Source organism: Homo sapiens, chromosome 8, assembly GCF_000001405.40.
Source record: "Homo sapiens chromosome 8, GRCh38.p14 Primary Assembly".
Lineage (NCBI taxonomy): Eukaryota > Metazoa > Chordata > Mammalia > Primates > Hominidae > Homo > Homo sapiens.
Window position 1 is genome coordinate 88,315,466 of NC_000008.11, and position 26,554 is coordinate 88,342,019.

At 36.8% G+C, this 26,554-nt stretch overlaps 1 protein-coding gene and 1 long non-coding RNA gene across 5 annotated transcripts in view; one reads left to right on the plus strand and one right to left on the minus strand.

The window, feature by feature from the left end:
• MMP16 (matrix metallopeptidase 16) overlaps window positions 1-12,018 on the minus strand; it is a 295,473-nt gene extending 283,455 nt beyond the window's left edge. The window contains exon 1 of the mRNA NM_005941.5: window positions 11,610-12,018. Within this exon, the coding sequence (NP_005932.2) occupies window positions 11,610-11,741 (132 nt within the window). The 5' untranslated portion in view covers window positions 11,742-12,018. The remainder of the gene's footprint in view (window positions 1-11,609) is intronic.
• Window positions 12,019-12,378: 360 nt separating this feature from the next.
• The window catches only part of LOC105375630 (uncharacterized), a 559,756-nt gene continuing 545,580 nt past the window's right edge, over window positions 12,379-26,554 (plus strand). For 2 of the 4 annotated variants that reach the window (XR_007060998.1, XR_007060996.1), the window contains exons 1-2: window positions 12,379-12,433; window positions 13,464-13,587. This is a non-coding gene — a long non-coding RNA (uncharacterized LOC105375630). Of the gene's footprint in view, window positions 12,434-13,463; window positions 13,633-26,554 lie in introns of all 4 variants that reach the window. The other 2 variants (XR_001745653.3, XR_007060997.1) reach the window with 2 other exon arrangements.

Below are 26,554 nucleotides of genomic sequence, written 5' to 3' on the forward strand. Positions count from 1 at the left end.
ACTCACCTAAGGTTCCAGGATTTAAAAATACAGATTCCCAAACCTCACTCTATGTGATCACTAATCTCTGATGTTAGTATTGTAATTGTTTCAGAGTACCACAAACTCTGCCCATTTAAGATGCCAAACTTAGTAACTAAATGTGTGTGTGTTCTGACTGCTCCACTCACTGGCCATTCCCCCATCTCTTTCCCTCTCTTTGGGCTTCCCTATTCCTTGAAACACAACAATATTGAAATTAGGCCAGTTAACAATTCTACAACGGCCTATAAATGTTTAAGTGAAAGGAAGAGTCATACATTTCTCACTTTATATTAAAAGCTAAAAATGATTAAGCTTAGTGAGGAAAGCATGTTGAAAGCCAAGATAGGCCAAGAGCTAGGCCTCCTTCACTGAACAGTTAGCCAAGTTGTAAATGCAAGGGAAAAGTTTCTGAAAGAAATTAAAAGTGATACTCCAGTGAACACACAAATGATAAGTGAAATAGCCTTATTACTGTTACAGAACAAGTTTAAGTGGTTTGAATAGACCAAACCAGCCACAACGTTCCCTTAAGCCAAAGCCTAATCCAGAGCAAGGCCCTCACTCTCTTCAATTCTCTGGAGGCTGAGAGAGGTGAGGAAGCTGCAGAAGAAAAGTTGAAAGCTAGAAGTGGTTGGTTCATGAGGTTTAGGAAAGAAGCCATGTATGTAACCTAAAAGTGCAAGATGAAGTAGCAGTGCTGATGAAGAAACTGCAGCAAGTTATCCAGAAGATCTAGCTAAAATAATCGATGTAGGTGGGTACCGTAAACAAAAGATTTCAATATAGACAAAACAGCCTTATATTGGAAGAAGAGGCCATCTAGGACTTTCATAGCTAGAGAGGAAAAGTCAGTGCCTGGCATCAGAGCTTCAAAGGACAGACTGACTTTCTTGATAGGAGGTAATGCAGCTGGCAACTTTAAGTTGAAGCTAGAGCTCATTTACCACTCCAAAAACTCTATGGCCCTTAAGAATTATGCTAAATCTACCCTGCTCTATCAATAGAACAACAAAGCTTGGATGACAGCATATCTTTTTACAGCATGGTTTACTGAGTATTTGAAGCCCACTGAGACTTACTGCTCAGGAAAAAGAGATTCCTTTCAAAATATTAATGCTCACTGACAACATATCTGGTCACCCAGAGCTCTGATGGAGATGTATAAGGAGATTACTGTTTTCTTTATGCCTGCTAGCACATCCATTTTGCAGCCCATGGATCAAAGAGTAATTTCAAGTCTCAAGTCTCATTATATAAGACATACATTTTGTAAGGCTATAGCTGCCATAGATAGTGATTCCTCTGATAGATCTCAGCAAAGTAACTTTAAAACCTTCTGTAAAAGATTCACCATTCTAGATGCCACTAAGCATCCTCATGATTCATGGGGGGAGGTAAAAATAACAACAGTAACAGGAGTTTGGAAAAAGTTTATTCCAATCCCTGTCGATGACTCTGAGGGAATTAGAAGTGGAACCTAAAGATCTGACTGAATTGCTGCAATCTCATTATAAAACTTTAATGAATGAGGAGGCTTCTTACAGATAAGCAAAGAGTGGTTTCTAGAGATGACATCTACTCCTCGTGAAGAAGCTATGAACACTGTTGAAATGAAAACAAAGGATTTAGAATATTACATAAACGTAGTTGATAAAGCAGTGGCAGGGTTTGTCAGGATTGACTCTAATTTTGAAAAAAGTTCTACTGTGGGTAAAAATACTATCAAACAGTATTGCATGCTAAGAGAAATCTTTCATGAAAGGAATAGTCAATCAATGTGGCAAACTTCACTGTTGTTTCAAGAAGCTGCCACAGCCACCCTCATCTCCAGGGCCATTACCATGATCAGTCAGCAGTCAGCAGCATCAAGGCAACACCCTCCAGCCACAAAAAGAGGACTTGCCAAAGGCTGAATGGTCCTTTAACAATTAAGTATTTTTAATTAAGGTATGTACATGCTTTTTTAGGTATAATGCTATTTCACACTTAATAGAACACAGTACAGTGTAAATATAACTTTTATATGCACTGGGAAACCAAGAAGTTCATGTCACTCACTTCTTTGTGAATTTCTCTTTATTGCAGTGAGAAAACCAAACCAGCAATATCTCTGAGGTATGTTTTTACTTCCTTCAGAGGAAGTGAGAAAGTAGCCAAAGGAATATTTAAATTTTGTAAAAATCAGCTAGATTTTTACCTTTGTTAGTTGGTTTAGAAATAGTCCTTCTTTGATAGGTTAATAAACAAATTATGTGAGTGCTGAAAGCTACATACAAGAACAATCTTAGGGCCTGAAGATTTTTTTTTACATCTATTGGTCAACCACCATATTGGAGTTTCTATTCTCTCCACAATAAAGGCAACAACCAGCCAACAGGCCTATTCTCAAACAGTGAGGAGGAACTCAATAACATTTGAGACACCTGATCCATCGCTGGACTGATCTATCTCTGAAAAATGTCGCTTTATATTAAACTAAATAAATATTTTAAAAACAATAAAATAAATATATTTCCTTTTAGCTTCTACTCAATAGATGCAACACATAAAAATAACAAATGCCAGAATTCATAAAACATGCCAGTCAGTAGCTATAGACACACACATTCCTGCCCTGCAGGGCATTGGAACACCTGTCTCTGACAAAGGTTTTTCACTACATTTTCTGTATTGTTCAATTCTTTTAATCTTAGAATGTAACCAAATCTTCCTGAATACTTTGAAAATCAGATTTAATGGTAAACTGCAATATAACAAATAATTGACAAATAAAATACTACAATTTAATATTGTATGTGTTTAAGATTATGCCATACATGGATTACCAATTATCTAATGATTTAGATAACTGTAAAACTATACTGAGTATCACATAATCAATCTTAAATCAACCAATCAAATCAACAATCCCTTATTCAGTTTTTAGTCCAGATAAGACTGTCTGCTCAGGATGGGTTAATATTTTTCCACTATACATATTAGTTACATCATTTTAGTTTGGAATACAAACGATGTTCGTAATGGAACTGGATCAAATTATCCATACTGGGAACCTGGAAGTTAATTCTCACCTGTATTTATTCGTTTGGAAGCCTGGGTACGACAGTCAGCCTGTCTGCTTTGATTTTAGGCTATCCCACTTCAGCACTTCATAGCAATATAACCTTGGCAAGTTCTTCAAACCCTGTGTTGCAGATCCAACACTGTGTAACAGAAATAGTCATACCAACTCACAAGATTATGATAAGAATTAAATGCGTTTATATATGAAACATTTAGAACACTTATTAGGCACATAGCATGTGTTTAACCAATGTTAATTAACATTGTTTTTTATTATAATTAAGATTCAGTGTTCAAATGGTATTTCCATGTTGCTGGTTATTTGGACCTTTGTTTAATCAGAATGTAATGGCAGAATGTAGGTGTTTCTATGCTCCCAGTCATCAGCGGGAATTCAGGGACTGAGACACCATGTTATTCCTACTTATAAAGGAGACTGCTTGGCAGTGTCTGGATGCTGTCATTATAAAATCCACGCTACAGACAGGCAATAAAGATCACATATCCATTACATAAATGGCCCAAACAAGGCAAAGACTACTTAAGCAATTTGCTTGAGTCACCCATGGAGCAAACAACTTCACTCAGTCCATCATACATAGGCAAAACAATGAGTTATATGAGTAGCACTACTGTAATACAAGGAATACCCAAACCTCCAAAAAGGATTTTAGTCATATCTTAGTAGTGCTCTTGACTTTTCTATGTTTGTTCTCAATTTTATATAAACCATCAAGTATACATTTGTTTCTCTAAGCTATTTGAAACTATTTTACTTTATTAACGATGACAGAGGGGAGGGGTAAAAATGTGACTTTTCATAATTTTTCCCAACTTCTAAGCCTGGGGTCCTGCAAAGTAACTAAAATATGAAGTCCCTAAGATGCCAACTAGATGAAGCAAGTAGAGCGTGAGAAAAGGAACTGCAACTGTTGAGAGTAAAGAAGGAATGAATGCACAGACATTAGAACCTAAAATAAAAACAAATTTCTAATTATTATAAACAATGAGAAATTACCAACACATGGTAGGAATTCAACTGTGAAAAGTTCCCACGGAAAAATGCCCCCACTGACATCATTCGGGGTCTGACTCCATCAGCCGCATGCAGAGGCACATGTCTACATTCCATTGACATCACATCAGGTGCAAGCAATTTAGGGACATGAAATGAAGTTTATAAAAGTATCCAGCTTACCCTAAAAAATGGCAGTTTATTCCTCCTTAACTTAAACGGGGCTAAAACAAATACTATAAGATTCCGTTTCAGTGAATAGTTTATTTGGGTTTCTTTGGTCATTTGAATACATCACTCTAAGGACTATCTCTCTTGAGAACATTTATCTGTTCTCAGGGTCCATGACTTACTTCAATAATCCATATCTCACTTAAGTGACTAGATTAAAAAACTTACAAAAAACTTAGTGATGCTTATGAGAAGCTTATAATATTTTAATTAAATGCTGGCATGCCCTAATGCATTAGCAAGTGCCTTTGTTATCCCCCAACCTCTACCAGAGGTCAAATAATAATCTGCTCAACTAAAAACATTTCTTAGGCTCCTATTTAAAGAAACCACACTGTTTCACACTTTTGTGGATCGTTTTTTACATATTTTTAAAAGGAAGAATAGGTAGAAACTGGATTTTAAACTCTGCTTTCATTGAAAAGTATTTATTCAATAAGGACTCATGGTAAACATTAGAAATTAAAATCACTTTAGTCTCGTGAGCTTTTAAAATTGGATTTTTGCTACACATAATCTAAAAGGCATTATCAAATTAAATTTATTCCACCTCTAATCTATAAAACCACAATTATTTCATTAGTTATTTTAGTTAAAACAGGAACACCAAAAACACCTAGTCACTACAATGTATAGTTTTTGACCTATTACACACCTAAAAATAAGAGAAATGTAAAGCATTCCTGCATTATAATATTCTTTGTTATACTGCCATGCCCAGAACATTTTTCCCTAAAGTGCTAATTTCCTTCTTAGTTCATCAAATATGTAATCACTGGTGCCAAGAGGCCCTCAGTAAACCAGGTTACATCTTAAATCGTGAACTGTGTTCATTGATTTCTTCAAAATCTACAATTGGCTATGATTCATTTTGCAACATCTGATTGCACCTAGTATCTGTCCTTGATTTTAAACCAAGTTCTTCCAAGCCATTGGAGTCTTTAAGCAGCTCAATAGCTCCCTCTAGCCTCTTTTTATATACTACACCAAGAGGTCACATTTAATCAAAGGTTAGGGGCTACACTTACTCTCTCGGCTCAGCTTCTGTCATGTGGCTCATCAAGCTATGCCACTATCCAAAACTAAGGATGCACAATGCCAAACAGTTGTGGTGAAACACCAAGCAAAAAATATCAATTCAGAGTGCTAAATGACAGGAAACAACAATCAAATATGGTTTCATGAAGAACCTCAAAATCTATAAATAACTTCCCCAAGTAAAAGAAAAATAAGGCAAAAGAAAATGTGAATGTCCCATATATCATTACTTAGCATTCTGTCCTTTTAGTATGGAATTTTTTATTGTTCACATAAACTACATATTTTATAAAATAAATGCAATCTGATTTTTCATATTCAAAATCAAATATGTGGTGAAGAACAAAAAAATCCTCAAAGAACACATGCCCAAATTATTTCCCACAATGGGCAAATGGAGAATACAGTATAAGCACTTAATTTCACTACAAAATATGTGTATATTTGTATACATATACAGAGAGACAGATTTAAATTTTGAGACACTCCCTCCCAAAAACTGTTAAAACTTAAGATTTTGAACTTATTCCAACTTGCCTTTTTATGATTGAATTACCACTTGTAGATGATATTTGTTTCTCAAAATGGCACTAAATTATATTTTTTAAATTAATTTTTAAGGTTTGCTACCTTGGCCAAAACTAGATTTTAAAATTACGTATCATTTGCTGCCAATGTATTTACTACTCAGCAGAAGGCTACGATGATTTCCAAAATGGAACATCCTTTGGAACTACAGATGATAACACATGTTAGATTTAAGTTACACATTCTGTATTTCCTCATGACATTTATTTCAGAAAAAAAATCTGAACTATCTACCTTTGTGATTCAGTAGTTACCAAATTTACAGGGTCAATATTGCATTTCCCATCCCCTTTGGCTACATAAACTAAAGCTTCTAGGCTTACGACTATAAAATTTCAAATTTGGAAATGGCCTTAGTGACAGTTTAGTTCACATCTCATTGTTGCAGATGAGATATCAAATAAGTTACATGTCCAAGTTCAAAGCCAGGTTAGCAAAAGAACCTGAGTTAAAGCCCACTTCCTTCAACTTCTCCCCCAGTGCTCAATTACACCACATTGCTAGCTATCTTGCCATTCCCAATGTTATATGGACACGATATGTTTTTCACTATTTTTTACTATTGTAGAAAACACTTTAATTTCTTTTTCAGTCAATTCTTATCCCTCCCTATACATAATTTTTGAAAAACTTTTTTGTTGTTGTTCAGAATCTGAGGTATAACAGAGCTGGCTTAAGTTTCTTATTGAATCCTACCCATATTATGAAAAGGAAGCACTTGGGGTTTGATCCAATTAAAATAAAAAGGCCTACTGAATTATAAAGGCCTATTTATTTTCTATGGCATTAGAAAAGATGAACAGATTTCAGCGAACGTGATGTTGTAAAAGAAGGTGTGAGCTGAACTTGATATTCTATGATAGTAACAGATGACATGACAAAATGTGAAAATCACATTCTTGAACTAAACTGTCTAAGAAAAACCTACGGGAAGAAAATGTACTGATGTTAGCTTGGTTGATTTTCAGTACATTATATTTTTAATAAATGGAAAGGTGTTTAAATAAAATCTTCCTATACCAATTGATATGTCCTAACCTGATAGATGTTTATGTCATTAGATGCTATGGTGCCAATTACTTCCTTATCGACCTTTATTTTCTATTAATAATAATGACATGTGGCTAGATGTGGTGGCTCATGTCTGTAATCCCAGCACTTTGGGAGGTCAAGGAGGGAGAATCACTTGAGCTCAGGAGTTTGAGACCAGCCTGGACAACATAGTGAGATCTTGTCTCAATGAAAATTAAAAAAAAAAAAAGAAAAAAGAAAAAGCTGGGTATGGTGGTATGTGCCTGTAGTGCCAGCTACTCAGGAGGCTAAGGTGGGAGGATTGCTTGAGCCCAGGAGGTTGAGGCTGTAGTGAGCTATGATCACGTCATGTAATGGTTTCATGAATAACCATAGACCTGAGTGATCCGGCCCAGGCAACTCTGAACAGAGAGGCATAGTCAAGGTAGAACATGTAGGAGAAGCTAGAGAACCTTAAAACAATTGAGACTCTTGTTCTCCTTATCATAGCTTTGGGCCCTTATGAGCACCCTAAACAGCCAGCATATTTGAGACGTTTTGTTAAACCTGCAATCTTGCGGTACATAAAAATCTTGATGAATCAGTCATACAGCCCCTGTTGTTGACCAGTTAGAAACTGCTACAGTGGAGAATTATAGGCTATATTCAGGAGACAACCTTTACTCAAGAAGGCATGGTACCACCATTCTTCCATGTCCAAATGAAATAATGCATCTTGATTTTTTAAGCAAGCAAAGAACAAGAGAAAAGCAACAGTGTCCCAACATAAGAATGTAAAATTCTATAAAATATAATTTTTATCTCTGAAATGTCTCATGATTAATTATTACCAAATTTATATGCAATACAAAAGTACCCAATGCAAACTCTGACTTTTTAGGTACATGCAGGCAAACCTGACAAAGGTTTGAATAAATCTTAAATCAGTTAAGTAAATATATTGCAAGAAAAATTTAGGAAATAGTTATACTCAATTCATATTTGTCATAAAAGACCCCTTTGAAATCTAAAATATCTCTGCTTTCTTTAATCAGGAACAACAAAATCAATTTTTGCCTTATCAAGACTTTTTTTGTCACAAAAGAGTAATCATTTTATGCTTTGATATATGCATCATTTAGAATTTTATATGTTTTTATTTTACCACTAAATCAGCTTGAAAATTTTTTCCTCCCTGGAAATGTATGCTATTGTTTAGAAATTGATAAGGAATATGCTGTTCACATAAGTAATATCTGACAAACTATTCAGAGTTGACGATATGAGAGGTATTACTATCATGAACTATGTTCTGTCTCAAATTTCATAACAAAAATGCTCACAGCATACCAAAAAAAAAAGCCACAGGATCATGAAAATCCCTATATGAGATAGCTATTTTAGGAACAAAATGATTTTTAAGACAGTAGACATTAATAATTATTTGTTAATAATTTAGCTGCTTCTGACCAATGAACACCTCTGATTCAGACTGCTGTCCAATGACAACAGTTTTTGACTTTTAGTTAATATTAGCAATGTTCCCTTGCATCGTGCTAATTATCACATACTGAAAGACCAACTCTTAAAAAAGGGATCCAATGATATATGGATATCTTTACCTAAGTGAGTATATACTGAAAACTTAACAATAAAAGTGTTCCACTTGAAATGAAAGTAGAGCAGTGTATTGAATCTCTTCCATAGTACTACTCCTGGTAGTGTCTGACCCTTTCTTAGCTGTAAGAGATGTTCCTTTTTGCTTCTTAAAAAACAAGCTAACCAAGCAAAACCAAATGCACTCTCTTTCTGTAACAGGATTTCATCACCATATTAAAAATATCTCTCACTTCGATAATTGACAACTCCAAATATTTATACCCTTAAAAATCAGACAGGAAAGAGTTAACATGAATACCTCTAGCCAACCACCCTCTTCAAATCCCCCACTTCCCTGGGAAAAATATACAGTCTTAAACCTTAAATCACAGAGATAAAAAAGAATGGGGGGACCACAAATTGTTAAGTTTAGTGATGAATAAAGCAATGTAATCTTAGTTGTCAGCATAAAAAGCATCCCCCTGAAGCTTTGTTCCAACTATAAAAACTTTCTGTGCTTACTGAAAAAAAATTTTATGATCATATGAGCTTCATGCATGACTGATATCATTACTGTTTATTTTAAGACTATCCTTGAGAATCAATCAAATAAAACATTCCCAGTGTGTATGTTTTGCAACCAGAATGAGGAACACAATGTAAGTGCCTCTTCTGGAGAGGAAGTGATGGACCATTCTTCCCATTAGTGTTTCCTATCAAAAAAAAGTCAAATAGAAGTGAATCAGGCAGAAATTTATGTCAGAAAACATCCCGTCATTCTGTGTTCTTGACAATATTTCCATTTCACTAGCAGCTACTCCTACAATCTAAAAAAAAGGGGGGGTATCATTACACATAAAGAAGCTTATAAATCCAACCAAAATGAGCTCAAGAGCTTAAAAATACTATTTGAGGATAACATAAACTAAGGCATATAATCTGCTCTAAACCATGAAAAACTTCCCATTTTATTAAGCAAGATTTTAAAGGTCTGAGATGGCACATGACTTATCTGTCAGGCTTAAATCTGTGTAATAAATATGACTAGAATAATTTAAATCCTCTAAAAATGGGAAAATAACTATTTTCTCCATAAACCATTTTTCCCCACACATCTTAATGAAGAAAGAGAAGGGGTCATTGGAATCCAAAATTAAATAAAATTTGTTAGTACAATCATAACTTTTTTGCATAATAATATCTGAACTTACTGAGGGATTCCAATATAAAGAAATACAATCTTTTATGTTTAGTCTCACAAAAAATCTAATAATCATCAAAACTCATGTTATCCTAACCTCTGAAAGCAAATCTAATACTTTCCTAAAGCAGGTAACCATCAATCCAGGCTGTCCTTCCCTTCCCTTATTCAGAAAGACACAACCTTGCACTTACTTTTACCACCTCCCACACACTCCACCTCACCACCATCACCACCAACCTGAAGCAATAGGCCCTTCTGTTTATAACATTATAAATAACAGCTTGCCACTTTAATTCCTCCAGCCTATGAACTAATCCTTCATTTCAACATTAAATTATCTCTTGATTTAAATGTTAGGTACAAAAATCCATCTGTGGCACGTAATTCCAAAAGTTCAAATTTGCAATAAAAAAAGTCTGGACTTTCAAGCCCCTTTCTCTTTTTATCTAGAAAAATAAAGTTGTATTTTTCAAAGGGTTAAACCTTTTTAGTTTTCAAATTGGGTTTTTTTTGTGTAATTTATTCATACTTAATATCTGTGAAGGTCTTTAACTCTTGATAATAGCTCTTACTTTTTCAAATACTTTTTTTGTACTAACCATGACTTATTACATGAAGTCCTAAGAACAGTTTCTATAAACACAGTTATATTCAGAATATGCCTTTACACATGGCATTTATTATGCACACTCTGTGTATCAATTGGTTACATGAAGCATGTTCAAATACTGTGCAACAGGTCTTGCTATTGTGTAAACACACACTCCCAGCAAAATGACAATAAGCTTCATAATATCAACAATATAAGAAAAAAAATCACATTATTCCTTAAAAAATTATTCATAATTCGTTTGAGAGTTCAGAGGACATCAGATCTAATCAAAAGAAGTAAATGTTACTAAGACCCTCTTACTGGCTTTGTATCCCACCGTATATGTGATAAAGTTGTGTTACAGCCCAGGTGTATACACGCTTTCATTGATTTATTGCACATTACTGGCTTCAGTGCTGACTTGATGACAGGAAGAGTACTTTGGCAGAGGTCTGACAAGTCCCTATCCTTAAGTTCCCTTTTGCTTTGTGCCGTCTGTTCCCAAAGCTATCAAAGTAAAGCAAATGACAGTCTAAAACCTCCCCGTTTTGCCACGAGAGTGTGAAATCAAATTAAAAACACACCTCAAAACTATTACATTGGGCCACGTTTATTTTCAATTGGCGGGGGAGGGGGAAAGAAGACACTTAAAAAGAGATGGATTTCATGTCCTCTGTGTAGCCAGATCTAGTTACAGTGTATTAAGTTATGTCTAAATGAAAAAAAAAAAGATTCTCAAGTGTTTTATCACAAAGTAATGTTATTAAACACATCTAGTGTTCCCACGCTCTCCTCTAGATTCTTTGATTTTTAACCTCCTTTGTTAGGCACCAAACACTGGGAGAAAGATTTCAGGAACAATACCTAGGCAGCACATGATGCCAGGGAATTAATTCTGTCTTCCCCGAGCTGTTTATCCATCATAAACTCAAGCTGCCTTATTTAGCTACACGGTTGCTATATGTAGGACTTCTCTTCCCTGGGTGAAAAGCATGGACCGGCTACAATTGTGTCTTTGAGCGCGCAGCATCGTGCTTTGTGCTGCCGGGGATAACGGATTCTGGGTCTCACACGCATCCGTCACCTAAAACACCCTTAAACTGAACCAGGGTCTCCACAGCTGGAAGGGAAACAACGTGCTGGGACCCAGGCTGCTCTGAGCTACAAGGATCCCAGGAGTGAAGGAAATGTTTCAGGGAGCAGCCCAGGCAGCGGGGGGAGGAAGAAAGCCCTCGCACTCTTACCTCCACATTGAAATACTGCTCCGTTCCGCAGACTGTAGCACATAAAATCCAAAGCAAGGTTTGCAAGAAAAACACCCCCGAATGATGCACGAAATCCAACCGTCTTCCAGTGCTGAATGTGAGTAAGATCATAGTGAACTGTGCTTCAATGGATGGACGAGCTCCCCTTCGTTTTCTCCCTCTCTCCCTCTCCCTCCCTCCCTCGTTTCCTTTCAAAAAAAAGTCCTCCGGGTGGGTAAGGAGCCTGCAGGTTCACCCACAGCCGGGCAAGGGGAGGAGACAGGGGCCCCGCGCTCGGCAGCCCCCGAGAGGCAGCGGCGAAGACAGGGTCAGCAGTAGTTCCTGTTCACCATCCTCCGGGGTCAGTCACCGGGAACGTGGCGCCTAAGTTCACCGGCGGTTCCGGCTCAAAGAGCCTAGTCGCAGCCGCAGCAGCAGCAGCCGCCGCCGCCGCCGCCGCCTCCAGCCCGTGCGTCCTCCTCCTGCACTGCCTACTCCTCCTCCTCCTCCGCCGCCGCCGCCGCCCCCAGCTCCTGCGGGAAGGGCCTCCGCCGCTCCTCACTCTCTCGCCTCTGCTTCTCCTTCCCTCCTCTCCTCGCTCCCCTCCAGAATGTTCATCCGTAATCTACATAACTCCTCCTTCCCGGGGTCTGCCTGGCTCTCGGGGCCCTTGGCGCGCGCGCGCGCGCGCACACACACACACACACACACACACACAGAGACACACCGCGACACACACACACACACGCGCGCATACACACAGCCCGACACACACGCACGCGCGCTTCTTAAAGGAGACGGCTCATAAAGGATTCCCCACTACGGTAGGGCGCACCGGAGGTATCCAGCCCGCGACAAGGGCCCTGGTTTGAGCACAGCTCTTCGACAGTATCTCCCATCCCGCATCCCCGAGGCAGGCACCCAGGAACTTGGGCGGCTCCATTCTTTCTTCCCGCCCACCCTGCCGCCTCGCATCTAAAAACGAGTGCGCCCCTCTCCAGCCATGAGCTGGGTGGGGCTCAGGCTGCGGACCCTAGTGGGGCCTGGGGAGCGGCCCAACCCTGGTCCTGGAGAGCGGTCGGCATTCCTGAGGAAGCGGCCCTGGAAGAATAGGGGCGCTGGGAATCAGAGGAGCGCCTGGTCACTGAGCGCCCCTGGGTGGCTCGGGTCGGTGGCCGGGGCTGACCAAGTTTGGGAAGACTGAGATAGCAAATCCCGAACGTCCAAAACTTTGTTGGGGTCCCGAGCCTGTGGCCTGGTGTCTTCCTGAATCCCCTCTACCATAGCTACATTCCGCCTTCCAGGCTTGAGGAGTAGGCACAGGGTTTTGGTGGCGGACTAGACAAATACAGAAGCGGGATGAAAACGCTCACTTTCCAAGTGAACGGTGGACACACGCGCACAGTGGGACCCGGGAGAGATGGTCCTGGGTGTTAACAAAACATCCGATGAGAGGGATGGGGGCGCTGGAAAGAAACCGGCTGCGGGAGCCAGGGGAAGGGTTGGGGAAAGAAGGAGAAGAAGCAGCCTGAGGAAAGGCGAGTAAAGCAGCTGGCAAGGGCGGGAGGAAGAGGCTGCTCGCAGACCGAGCGGGGGAGAGGCTGGCGGGAGCTAGGAGAGCTGCAGGCAAGAGGGGGAGGCGGCTGGCAAGAAGCACGGGCGAACGCGGGCAGGGAACTTCAGAGGAGGCTGCCAGAAAGGACTGGAGCTGTAGCAGTGCGAGGCAGTGGACAGGGGGGGCAGCAACCACCAGCCCTTGGCAAGTGATGGTTTGGCTGAAAGAGGAAGGGGGAAGGGAGCGAGGCAAGCATCTGTTTGGGGGCTAATGCCAGTAAATGTGCTTCTCCTTGGCAGCCAGCAGAGGGGAAGAGGAGCCCACGGGAAAGAAAAGCAGGCGAGGTTAAGAATAAAGAGTGTTCCAGGTATGACAGCTACCTCGGTGAGGTGGAAGAGAGAATTGACAAGGCAAATTTCATGGGTGAGTTGGAAAGGCAAGAAGCAGGACTACAAGAGGTCCTATGTGGTAAGCAGATGGAAAATTCTGAGAATGGTTTGCCAAAAATTGTATTAGACTGCAATAACTTTTATCCAATAAAAGAAAAAAAGGCTGAGGAATGGGACTTTGCAGCTGTTGCTGTAAAAATGTAAGAAATGCCCACCCAACTTGACCCAAGACCCAAGAAGTTCTCAGGGAGACCTTCCTGACAGTCTGCCTTGTGCCCAGCATGTGCTGCCCACAAAATAATTTTGAAGATGTAATAAAAAGCAATGTCTTATATTGTATAGTACATTAGAATATTCAGAATGTTTCCAGACATAGTATCTCATTTAATTCTCACACCATCTCTGAGGATTTTGTTTTTATTTTACAGATGAAGTAAATGATAGCAATAAAATATAACGTTCCAGCAAACCATACAAGTGGCAGAGTTCAGACTTTTGTTTCCTGACTCCCAGTTCAGTGATTTTCCTGCTATACTCCAGTGACTTTCCAAATGGAAATTCATTCCTGCTCTTAGCAATTTTATAATCCATAGGTTGAGATGATTTTTTATAAAAGAAACAGCTAGAAGGCAACATGAAAGTAATGTCATTATATAGAATTTATATGGTGTTCTGTGCCAATATAAGGTAACGAAATGTAGTGAAGTATTTGTCAATAAATCAAGAATGATTTTTATGTGTGCATTATATCTAGTAAAGTGCAAAATTAGAGAGGGAAAATGATACAAAAAAAATGTTTAAACTCAGTTCCTAGTCTTTGAGATACTATTGAAGAGGAGGAGGTAAAAATTATTTACCAAAGACGTTCATGAGAAAACAGTGCTAAATGGTGATGTCCTTGCTAACTGAGCCAAATATTAGAAGACTGTATCAAGGACATGGAGTGCAAGTTGAGCACTGCAAAACTATCAGTAAGGAGGGATTTTTCACCATAAGCAACTTGGTTTTCTTTCTTTCTTTTTTTAAAGCATGTGCTCAGACAAGAAAAATAGTGTATTTGTGGAGGACAGGTATGGAGAGGGACTTGTAATGAAATATTGAGTTAACATTTGCTCAAATTGGTAAACAAGGGTTGCTAAACCATTCTAAATATGAATAGGTATCCAGGGAATATTACCTTCAAAATTATGCATGGGATTGACCATGGGAAGGGACTCTATGCAAAGAGGTAACAATTAAAATAAGGTTTTAGGCCAGCCATGGTGGCTTGCGCCTATAATTCCATCACTTTGGGAGGCTGAGGTGGGCAGATCACCTGAGGTCAGGAGTTTGAGACTAGCCTGACCAAGATGATGAAATCGCATCTCTACTAAAAATACAAACATTAGCTGGACGTGGTGGCGGGTGCCTGTAATCCCAGCTACTCAGGAGGCTGAGGCAGGAGAATCACTTGAACTCAGGAGGCACAGGTTGCAGTGAGTCCAGATTGCGCCATTGCACTCTAGCCTGGGTGACAAGAATGAAACTTCATCTCAAAATAAATAAATAAATAAGGTTTTAATCCAGCTATGAAACTATAAGGCCTGGACTAGTGAGATGTCCTAGGAAAGCTATGCTTTCAAAGAGCAATCCTAAGAGAAGAAAACTATTGAAAGTAGAAAATCCTAAATTCGAAAGATAATATCAAATTAGTGATTGGTTACCATAAGGATTTTAATTATTTGTAAACAGTTATTAAACTTATTTGTGAGTGTTTGATGAGCAATAAGTGAATGAATGAGTGTTCAAGGTTATGGAAATACTGTGAATATTCAAGGTTCTAGGAATACTAACAGATAATACTGTTTCATTTCTGAGATGGGACTCAGAAGGATTCATAGTACAGTGAGAAGGACAGACATATAATAATTATTGCATTGTCATAAGACCCAGGTAATTACAAAAGCAAGATGCTATGGAACAGGGTGGAAGAAGTAGTTGACTTTCCGTGAATTTTTTTTTTTTTTTTTTGGAGACAGGATCACAAAATACATGCTTCTCAAGTGGAATCTCTAATAATAAGAAATGTACTGGGCAGATAGGAAAAGGAAGAATATTTCTGACCTGTGTGCAGTGGAGGAATAAATACACAAAGCGGCATTTGTGGAACTACAAATAGTTGGTCAGGACTAGAGGCTAGGGTGTGTAAAGCAAGGTCAGAGTCAGAGGTCGCATGAGTAAGTGTGCAGGGATCAGATCAGCAAGAGTCTTAGGTACCATATTTGAGGCTGTAGACATTCTCCCAAAGGAATTCTTAGGAGGAATAGTTGGATTTTCACTACCTTTACTGTTTGTTTGCTAATTCCATGCAGACAGTCACCTTCTAGTTCTCATATATTTTACCTCATATGTTCCATTAAGCATGTAATATCTACTGCCTTTATAGACCTTCTATCTGTGCTTGTCTAATAAGCCTGATGCAAAGTTTCACATATTGACTCCGATGGGTACCTGCAGAAATGTAATCGCTTTCTTGGTCAGGTAGGTTTGTTATTCTATCTCTAATCTGTTATATATACTTATCTTTTAAGGGCCTAGAATTACGAAGAAATTTCCATTCTCATGTATTAGTAGTGTGAGCTTCTTGGTGGTCTTCCTAGAGAGGGCGTTGTTTTCCTATGCATAGTAAGATAAAACATGGAATATCATCCTTCCCTTTAGGATATGAATGAAATCTTTCCTCACAACTCTTGGCACTTGCTGTGTATGCTTTCTGTCAACTACTTTCCCTCTTCTCACAATTTCACATAACTAATGAACAATCTCAGAATTACATGTGACTAGAGAAAAGAGAACCAAAAAAAAGATGAAAATAAATAAGAAAGCCAAAGAGAAGTAGTAATTGCCACTGATAAAGGTTAATAGCAATTCAATGAAATATTACATGGGAGACAAGAGGTCTGAGGAAGTAAATTATATGTAAACCTAACAAGAGGCAAATGACATATACTTAAAAATGGGCAGTTGAGTCACATTCTGGGATGTGTAAATAACTACCTAAAATAACACTGGAGATAAATTATGTACTATAGCCTTTATTGAACCAGATTTCTTAGTAAAATAGAGCCTTTGAAATGAATTCTGTAGCTTGAGAAGTTACATAAACTTGCTCATTCTTCCATCATATCAACTAATATGCTTTCTTTCCTACTTGCATCAGTTGAACCTGCAGTGTTTTTTTATTTTTAAATTCAGAGAATATTGAATTAGTGCCAGCTACTGGCATTCTCTCACACATCTGTTATTACCAGGGTCATGCATATGTGGAACAATCAGCTAGAGGCTTATTATTTAAGCTGTGTTCTCTCTGGAAACTTTAAGACCTAGGAGCTTATCAGAAATGCGGAATCTCTGGCTGTGTCAAGATACCCCAGTGCTCCATAGGCATGGTAAAATTGAGAAGCACTGTTCTAGAGTTTGCACACAGGACAGCTTAGTTGCACTGTATCCACCTCCTTAATGTTATTAGTGTCATGCTCTAAGTAAAGAGAGCTAACCAGTTCCAATCAGAGTTATGCTTGTGGTACTGAAATGTTGGCTTTTCCCTCAAAAATATAACTGCATGACCTGAATTTATTGATATAGCTTCTAACTTTCAGCAGTATGGTGTTTTTTTTTTTGAACATGCATTCTGTGCAAAACAACTCTCCTACTTGATAGCTAAGAAAAATTGCTAGCTATTATCACTGCCTATGAAGATAGTATGATTTTTTCTCCATTTCTTTCATTGATTTATGCTCTTTACCCCTCCATAACTATGAGTGTTTCTCAAATATGTGGTCTTCTTTTTAGTTCCTTCATTCCTCCAAGGACATTGATTAACCACTATAAAATACAAAGCAAGTGAAGATTTAAAAAGATAAACATGAAGTGAGTTACGATAAACCAATTCAGTTTGGTTAGGTTCTAAGATTGATGAAGTTTTGAACTTTAAAGTTGTTTTCATTTGGAATTCCTTTTGAAATAAACAAGAAGCTATCAATACAGAATACAGAGACATGCTTTTGGTAAAAGTGAGTGAAGAAATGGCTCCCAGTGCCTTCTTTTTTTTTGTCATAGAGTACCTGAAGTTTGGAGCTCCAAGATGACTGGGAATTATGAGAAACCCACCAGATCAGGTATACTATTAGGCTAGAGGTGGGTCTTTTCAGTACCCATAGTTGTGCCCATAACCATACAAGACCATTGCTCCAGCAATGCAGTTATCTGCTTCCCAGTGACCATGGTCTGTTATAACAAATAACTTGGAGTTGCAGAAGCTTGAAGTCTAACTTTGCTCTTCTCTCACTCTAGAGAGATTCTTCCCTCTTAAGTCTATACCTGTTACTTCTACTCTGATAATTTTTAGGTCTGTATCCCTAGCCTTAAATTTAGTCCCATGGTCTAGAATTCATATTACTACTTTCACCTAAAACTTAGCATATCCCCAACCATGTTCACCACCTTTTTCTTTAGATGGTATATTCTTTACTTTCCTCATTTCAATCTAGACCCACTATTCCACTTAACATGGAACACACCTTTGACTCTAATATTAATTTATGTTCTGTGTTGAATCAGAATCAATCACCAGTAGCTATCATGACCCTTGTCCAAAATCACTCTTATTCATTCCTTCACCTGCACTTGCAGTTAATAACTGTCCCTTATAAATGTATACTCTTGTCATTTCATGGCTAATCACTGGAGTAGCCTCCAATATGTTGTATATGCATATGTTCTTTTTTGTCTCCAATTATTCTTCAAATCAGTTCATTGAATCCCCCCCAAACTTAACTATTCTTATGTATAATTTTCAGCATAGACATGGCATTTATAAATTAGAAGGACATTTTAAAATTTCTTCCTCTTCATTATTCAGAAGAGGGAATTGAGGCTTAGCAATGTTAAATAAGATGTGACTAGTTGGCAAAGGTTAAAAAATGCACATGTATTCTGATTTACAACTTATTGCCTTTGTAAAAGAAAAAGATTCGTCGTAAACTACTTTAGGCATGCAAGAAAATACCATAAACAAACAACCCAGTGTAAGAAATATTTTCATCACCTTTTTTTTTTACCAATGCCATGTAAATAATTGTGGTAGACTAACATTAGATAATATGCTGTGGATTATCAGACATGCCATGGTTTGGTATATTGAGATATACAGCACATATGATGAGAATGATGAAATATGATGGGGAAGCACATTTCATTATGTAAGTGGCTAGGCAAATGGAGAAGATGATTGAGAATCCCTTTAGGTACTTGTGTACCTTTAGAAAAATCATTATCTAAGTTTTTATGTTTCATTTTTTTCATCTATACAGTGGTATTTCATATTATTTGGGTAGTTGTGAGGATTAAATGAGATATTACACATGGAAGCTTTCTGTAAAATTCTAAGTACTAAAAAGCATAAAAGATTATAGCATGTGGCTATTGCATACTTTACTTTCAGCAGGCAGGCAGCAAAGACTGAATGAGATTCTGGTTAACCTTTAAAGTGAAGACTCTCTGAGACCATTTCTAGTAATTTCTACTGGGGATTAACAAGTGCTGTGTTTTTAACTGGTATGAGCAGAAATGATAAAGAAAAGGAGCTATAAAATGACAGTCTGTTATCAAAATATAATTAGTCCCTTTTGTATTATTACATAGTGTATTAAATACACTTTTCATTAGTTCAGGAGCAAAGAAAAGGAAATGGAAAATGAAATGGAAATTAGATTGGCATCCATTAAAATAATATTGCTATGAAAATATATGATATAAAATTGAATATTTTATATTAAATTAGAGGCATTGAATTGGAATCTAAACTTATACAGTTCAGAGAACCTTTTGTAAGCTAATTTTCAATAGTAATGAGAAAATAAACATCCAAGTACAATGTTCTTTTTCCACATTTTAGAACAAAAATAAAAATGAATTAACCCATATCAGTATAGTTATCATTAGAGGAAGGATAGTAATAGAAAGATGAGAAAATATGCCAGACCTTTTTTGGGGGGGGCATTTGTTTAGCAATCTTTCTTTTCTTTTTTTTTTTTTGAGACAGAGTCTCGCTCTGTCGCCCAGGCTGGAGTGCAGTGGCACGATCTCGGCTCACTGCAAGCTCCGCCTCCCGAGTTCACACCATTCTCCTGCCTCAGCCTCCCAATAGCTGGGACTACAGGTGCCTGCCACCACACCCGGCTAATTTTTTGTATTTTTTTAGTAGAGACGGGGTTTCACCGTGTTAGCCAGGATGGTCTCAATCTCCTGACCCTGTGATCCACCTGCCTCGGCCTCCCAAAGTGCTGGGATTACAGGCGTGAGCCACTGCGCCCGGCCAGCAATCTTTATTTTCTTAATCTAAATGCACTCACAGTTACATAGGTATCTCCACCAAAATGTATTTAGTCATCTAACCATAATTTTAGTATATTTCGTGCTTTTGTTGTGTGTTTTCTCATCTTGAAAACTTTTAACCACACATCTTTAATTCTGTCAAAGCTGAAATAGACAGAATCATTCTTATTTTGTTTGTTGTTACTAAGAAACTTATTATGGTAATAAAGTTAGTAGTCTTCTACATCTTTCACTACCTGACTCACTGTATCAGGTGAGGTGAGGTGTTCTAATGGTCTGATAGTCTAATAAGGAAAAACTGTCTATGTACATTTATAAAAGCACCCTAGGGGCTGGGTGCAGTGGCTCACTCCTCTAATCCCAGCACTTTGGGAGGCCAAGGTGGGCAGATCACGAGGTCAGGAGATTAAGACCATCCTGGCTAACATGGTGAAACCCAGTCTCTACTAAAAATACAAAAAATTAGCCAGGCGTGGTGGTGGGTGCCTGTAGTCCCAGCTACTCGGGAGGCTGAGGCAGAAGAATGGCATCAACCCGGGAGGCGGAGCTTGCAATGAGTTGAGATCGCATCACTGTACTCCAGCCTGGGTGACAGAGCAAGACTCCACCTCAAAAAAAAAGGAAGAAAAAGCACCCCAGGAGAGTCAATTTCCCTATCATATATGTCAAATGTTACCATGGTTTTATTAATATCATTAAGATATCTGTTTCTGGTTATATTGGAGTAGTTGTGCTTTTATGTCATTCAATGGGTCAAAAAAATAAGTGACTTGTTCATTATAAATTTTAAAGTAGTCATGTCTCAAAACCTAGGGTTAATGTGAAAATAATTTATTTGAAAAAAAAGCTACCGTCATTTGAAATTACCTAAGACAAAGTATTTTACTTTATTTCACATATAAATAAATACTTTATTTCAAAGTATTTCATGTTTTAATCAAACGTGAAGCAGTGTGATTTTAATATAAAAACATAACTCAGTGTCAGTAAATCATAATTTGACACTACAGCCAATACCTATTTAATTGTTTTGGTAAAATATGTGACTCTTCTTTATAAGACTGAAATTCATTTATCTAGGTAAAAGTGAAAAAATAAGTCTTAAAATGAATTAGAAAAATTTTGTGTGAAGTATTTATACCCAAGATTTTTGTTAACATCAGATATCTTCTTATATTTCAAAGTAAAATGATCACTGTCACCTTAGCCCACCTTAGGAATAAGACAAATATCTTAGGGCTTGACTTAGAGTCTTATAGTTTCCATAGGATAACCAAATATACTATAAATTGTCCACAGATGCAACTTAAGTATTACTATACAGTAATTCTGTAATTGGAATATATACACATACAAATGCTTTTGGCATTTTAATTTATTCATATCAAAGCTACACCTGCATTTAGCATTTCCATTATTTTTACTTTAAAAATTCTTAGTATAATTATTTTAAAGACTTCTTTGGCTTTCTGCTTTTAAAGAGTTTTGCTTAAATGCTTGCTTTATTTAAAAACAAAATAAGATAATGAAGTTAGCTAGATATTGTTTACATGAAATTTTGCCCCATTTTCCGTTTTCATTTAAATTGGATTGACATCAAACTTAATATGACTGTGAGAGCTCAACTGTTAATTCAAACATTATAGAAAAAAATAACTGTGGGACAAGGAGGGACCAGATGCCCCATTGCATGCTCTCAGCCAATGAAAAACAAATCATGCTTAGTCAGATTGGGATGCTATAACAAAAACACCATAGACTGTGTGTAGCTTAAACAATCAACATTTATTTCACAGTTTGGAGGCTGGGAAGCCCAACATAAGGACTGGCAGATCCAGTGTCTGGTCAGCGCCTTCTTCCTGGCATGTAGACAGTGGCCTTCTTCTTGAGCTTCACAGGCAGAGCAGAGAGATAGATCATCTCTCCAGAGTCTCTTCTTATAAGGGCACTAATCCCATTATGAAGGCTCTACCTTCATTACCTACTTACTTCACAGCAGCCCCACCTCCAAATACCATCATACTGGGGATTCAGGCTTCAACATATGAATTTTGGGGTCACACAAACATTCAATTTATATTGTTAATTATTCTTAAAGCAAAGTCATTCAGCTACTTCTTGAAGACCACCAGAAATGGGAATCCGACTACTTTATAAGGCAAAATATTCAGGGGAGCTTGCAAGTGCATGTGATCTTTCAGATTTTTTAAATCAATTTTTCCATATTGAAATTGTATAGTTTTTCATAGCTAAAATCATTTTTAATAAGGTTTTATACACACATACATACATATATATTCAGTTATTTTTAGAGCTTCAATCCACACACTGTGTAAAACCTTCATTCTCAGCACATATTCTGAAGAATACTACCACCTCTAATACACTATCAGCAGAGCCATTCAACTCTCTCCATTTTACAATGAAATTAAAAACATGAAGACTCATGATTTGGGATACTCACAAGGAGCAGAAAAATGTTTCTGTAATTGGTTTATGAACCTACAATTGGTTTAAACAAAGGAATGCATACATACAGTTCCCATCAAATATTGCATCTCAAGGTTTCCGAGGACTTTGCAAAGATTAGATAGCCCATGTTTCTATCCAGATTTGAATCCTCTCTATAATGTTCCCAAGTTTTTAATTTTAAAAAACTCCATTATTACATGACAATTATTTAAATATTTATGAGCTCTTACTTAAATTCTATACTGGAATTGAATATAGTATGCAAATGAAATCTATATTTTCAGAGTATTACAAAGTGATATTACTTGATCCTCTGTTACTATAACATAATGGCATAAGATTATTCAATTCTATCTTAAAAGTTTCCCAAGTTTTATTTGTCATTGATATATGTACTTAGCTGTGCCTTAACATTAATCAGAATTTAAGACATTATTTCATGCTTCTTAGGTCGTGAATGGATTCTATAGAGAATAAGATTAATACTTTTCCTCAAGAAAGATATTATAGACTTTCCTTAATGAGTAGTAGGTCTCTATACACAACCATACATTCCTCCTCCTTTTCCCTTTGTAGTAAATGGCATGACCTTTCAGTAAAGAGATATTAATGAATATTGGAAATTGCACTAAGACAGTAGTCTGGAGACTGTTTCTTACCTTTGGCTCCATCAGTAAGTAGCTGATTGACTTTAAGCAAGCCTGTCAATTGTTCTATGCTCTATATATTGTATTTATGAAATGAAAACTTTGAATCAGATAAATTCTAAAGTATTTGAAAGTTCTCAAACTCTGTGAATATCTAAATCGATGCTAACTCAAAAGTTATCATCAATATCTGTCTCCCTAGAAAGTCAGAATTTAAAATATCAAGCTAGGTATAAATATAATTTAACCTAAAACTTTTTCCATTAGCTTGGTAAGTTTCAATATCTTTACCGTACTAAGTAAATGACAGCAAATTTTTAGGTTACCCTGATTTAAATTCAGAGAAACACATGGATTGATATAATAGTAAGGTAAGTTTTTATTCGCGCATGAAACTTCTTGATTAAAAGCTCCTCTATGTGTGTGCATCTAGGTGTGTCTGTGTATGTGTAATATTTGCCTGGCTTCTGCATTAGGGGTCATTATAATGTGTATGACTGAGGAAAAGAATGCCTTTCAGCCAGTCAGTGCTGTATGTGTGTGTGTGTGTGTGTGTGTGTGTGTATTTTGGGTAGGTGCAACAACACATAATAAACAGTTCTTATGTATGAATGATATAGCTTAAAGATGAACTTCTATGTAAAAATAGCTTTTTCTGTTAATATATGTGAAAATGTTCTATGATAAGTACTACTTTTCTGGAAAGAGTACAATATCATGATTTGTTGTTCATTACCCATTCAATTGCTTCAAATTCAGCATCTGGTTCTCATTACAAACTTGTTGTATTTAGTTTTGCTTCAGTGTTATCAGTTGCTCAAGTGAATCAATACAATTTTCAAGAATTTTAGAATAAGTTTGTTTATTGGCTGATATATGTTGGCTTTTTATATATTTATAAACAAATGTCTGTTTTTATTTCAGTAAAATGAATTAGAGATTGGTTATATTAAAAGAAATAATACTATATAATACTCTATTATTATAAAAATGAAAATAGTTATTTAAGTATAATATATATTAGTGAAACATTTTGTCACATTAAATTTGGCAGTTTCTAATCATAGTAAGTGTTGTTCACATCATCTTATTGGACCATTGACATAGGTTTAATATTTAAAATTATACAATCATTGTTAATATTGCTTAATTGAAAAACATGTTTGTATGGCCTACAAAAAGTGCTTAAGGGTTGCCAGATTTTGCAAATGAAAATACAGGATTCACAGTTAAATTTGAGTTTCAGATAAACAACAAATAATTTGTAGTATATCTTTTGCAATATTTGGAATATACACTAAAGATTTATCCATTATTTATCTCAAATTTAAATTTATCTAGGCATCCTGTATTTTATATGGCAAATCTCTTTAGCATGTAAATATACAAGAGGTTAAAGCTTTTTTCTGAGCTATAGATAGATGGATAGATAAATATAGCATCACCTCAGTTATCTGGAAGTCAAACTTTATACTTGTTAAGGCTAAAGAATGAGATACCGTCCGAATTACAGGCAGACAGGGAGGTAAAGAATGTAAACAGGGAAGGAAGAAAAAGAGAAGAAAATAACAAACTACTCTGGCTCCATAAACATGACTTGCGAACATCTATTAATAGCAACTGTGAAAATAGCCAAACTCAGAGTAAGAAGGATTGAGCCTGATGCTCCGAAATTGCTGTACTCACACCAAGTGAAAAGCAACACTCATATCAGCAATCAATTGCACAAAACCTGAGAACCGTTTAAGAGAGAATGAGAAAGCAAAAAGAACAAAAGAGAAATGATGGGAAAGAGACAAAAGAGAGTTAGTTACAAAGAGCCAAGGTAATGACAATAGGAGTGGAGGTCTTAATAGAGCAGGAGATCCAGTGACTTAAATAAATTCTGCCATTGTAGAAATATAATGGAGTGGGTTTGTCTTTCATTCTCAAGAACTGACAATAGTATAAGGGTGCCACTCCACTGAAAGCCACATTATCATTTGGCCAACTCAACTCTGTGGCATGCAAAGAATAGAAATTAAGAAAGTCCTGGCAAAACCATTTTTGGTTCAGGTAATCACAATAATGAAAATCAGTCTTGCTGAAAATATGCAAATTTCAGTGATATGAGGGAAGATAAGTAATTTGCCTAAAGTCACCACAGCTAGTAAAGGAGTAAAATCAGGACTCACCCCATTACACCAAAGTGACACCAAACTTACACCAAAGTTACATGTTTATTTTACCTAATATTTTTATGTCTACCAACAGTTTATTTGCTCAGGAGGAAGAGTCACTATGGTAGAGAAGAGTTAAACCATAATGCAGTGGAGATATGTGACTTGCATGGTAGATTATTCATGGGGAACAAAACCATATTAAGTATGTCAAAATCCAACAGGTGAAAAGGTGAGAAAATATCCTTATTGTGTTCTCATTCTAATTGAAAAGACAAAAACGCAGTATATGAAAATACTTAGGAAAGAGTCATGTGACAAATAAAAATGAAAGGAAGGTTAACTCTAAGTGCTGAGAAATAAAAACCCATGGAACTGTAGAATTCTGAGTAGTTTATTCCCAGAAGAGTTCAGCAGGAATTGAAAGCAGAATGTATAAAATATTGATGAATTCTTGACCACTTGAACATGTACTAATGCTGTAATTAGTAAGTATCCTTGGCACACTGGTCACCTACTTACAAAATGCTTTTCTAACTATTTATATAAAAGACCTCCCAACCCTATATTTATTGTCAGTCACTATGATTCCAGTTGCCATGTTTTATTTTCTTTTTAGTTGTTTACCATTATGGTAAATTATCGCTTTATTTCCACCACTACCTTTGCAGTGGAGAAAATATAAGCTTCATGACAACAGGTACTTCCTCTGAACTGTTTGCTATTTTATCACCAACACCCAGCATAATGCCTGATTCAGAAAAGAAAGCTAAATCTTTGTTTAAAGAATGACAGAATGAAAGACTGATATTTATGAAAACAAATCCAGTGCCTGTAAGACATACAATTTTTGTTTGTTTTATGTTCTGGATTTTATTATGGAGTATGGGTCTCATATTCCTTGGTTCTCTTGCATTTTAAAACCTATTCCCTGCTTTTGAACTCTCAGGTAACAAGTTGAGTTAGTATAAAATTCATAGGTCACCATTTCTGTCAAATAATGAAAGTCCTTGGAGATTTCTGGCGCTGGTCATGTGATTATTTAATTTTGTTTAAATAATCAGTAATTATTTAGTTTAAATTATTTAATTCTGTTTAATTTGGAGGGTTTTTTGTTCATTTCCGTAGTATGTATTGTACTGGCTTAATCTGCTAAACTTCAGGGGCTGTTATTATTTCAATAAACTTTCTTCTATCATTTATTTCAATACTTTTACATTTTATTTGCTTTCTACCAACCAACTGTACTTCCTTCCTGTATTGTTAATTATTAGGAGGTATGATCAATAAGTCTAGAAATCATGATGGCTAATTTTCTTACCCAAGACATCTTGGAACTTTGGCTCGA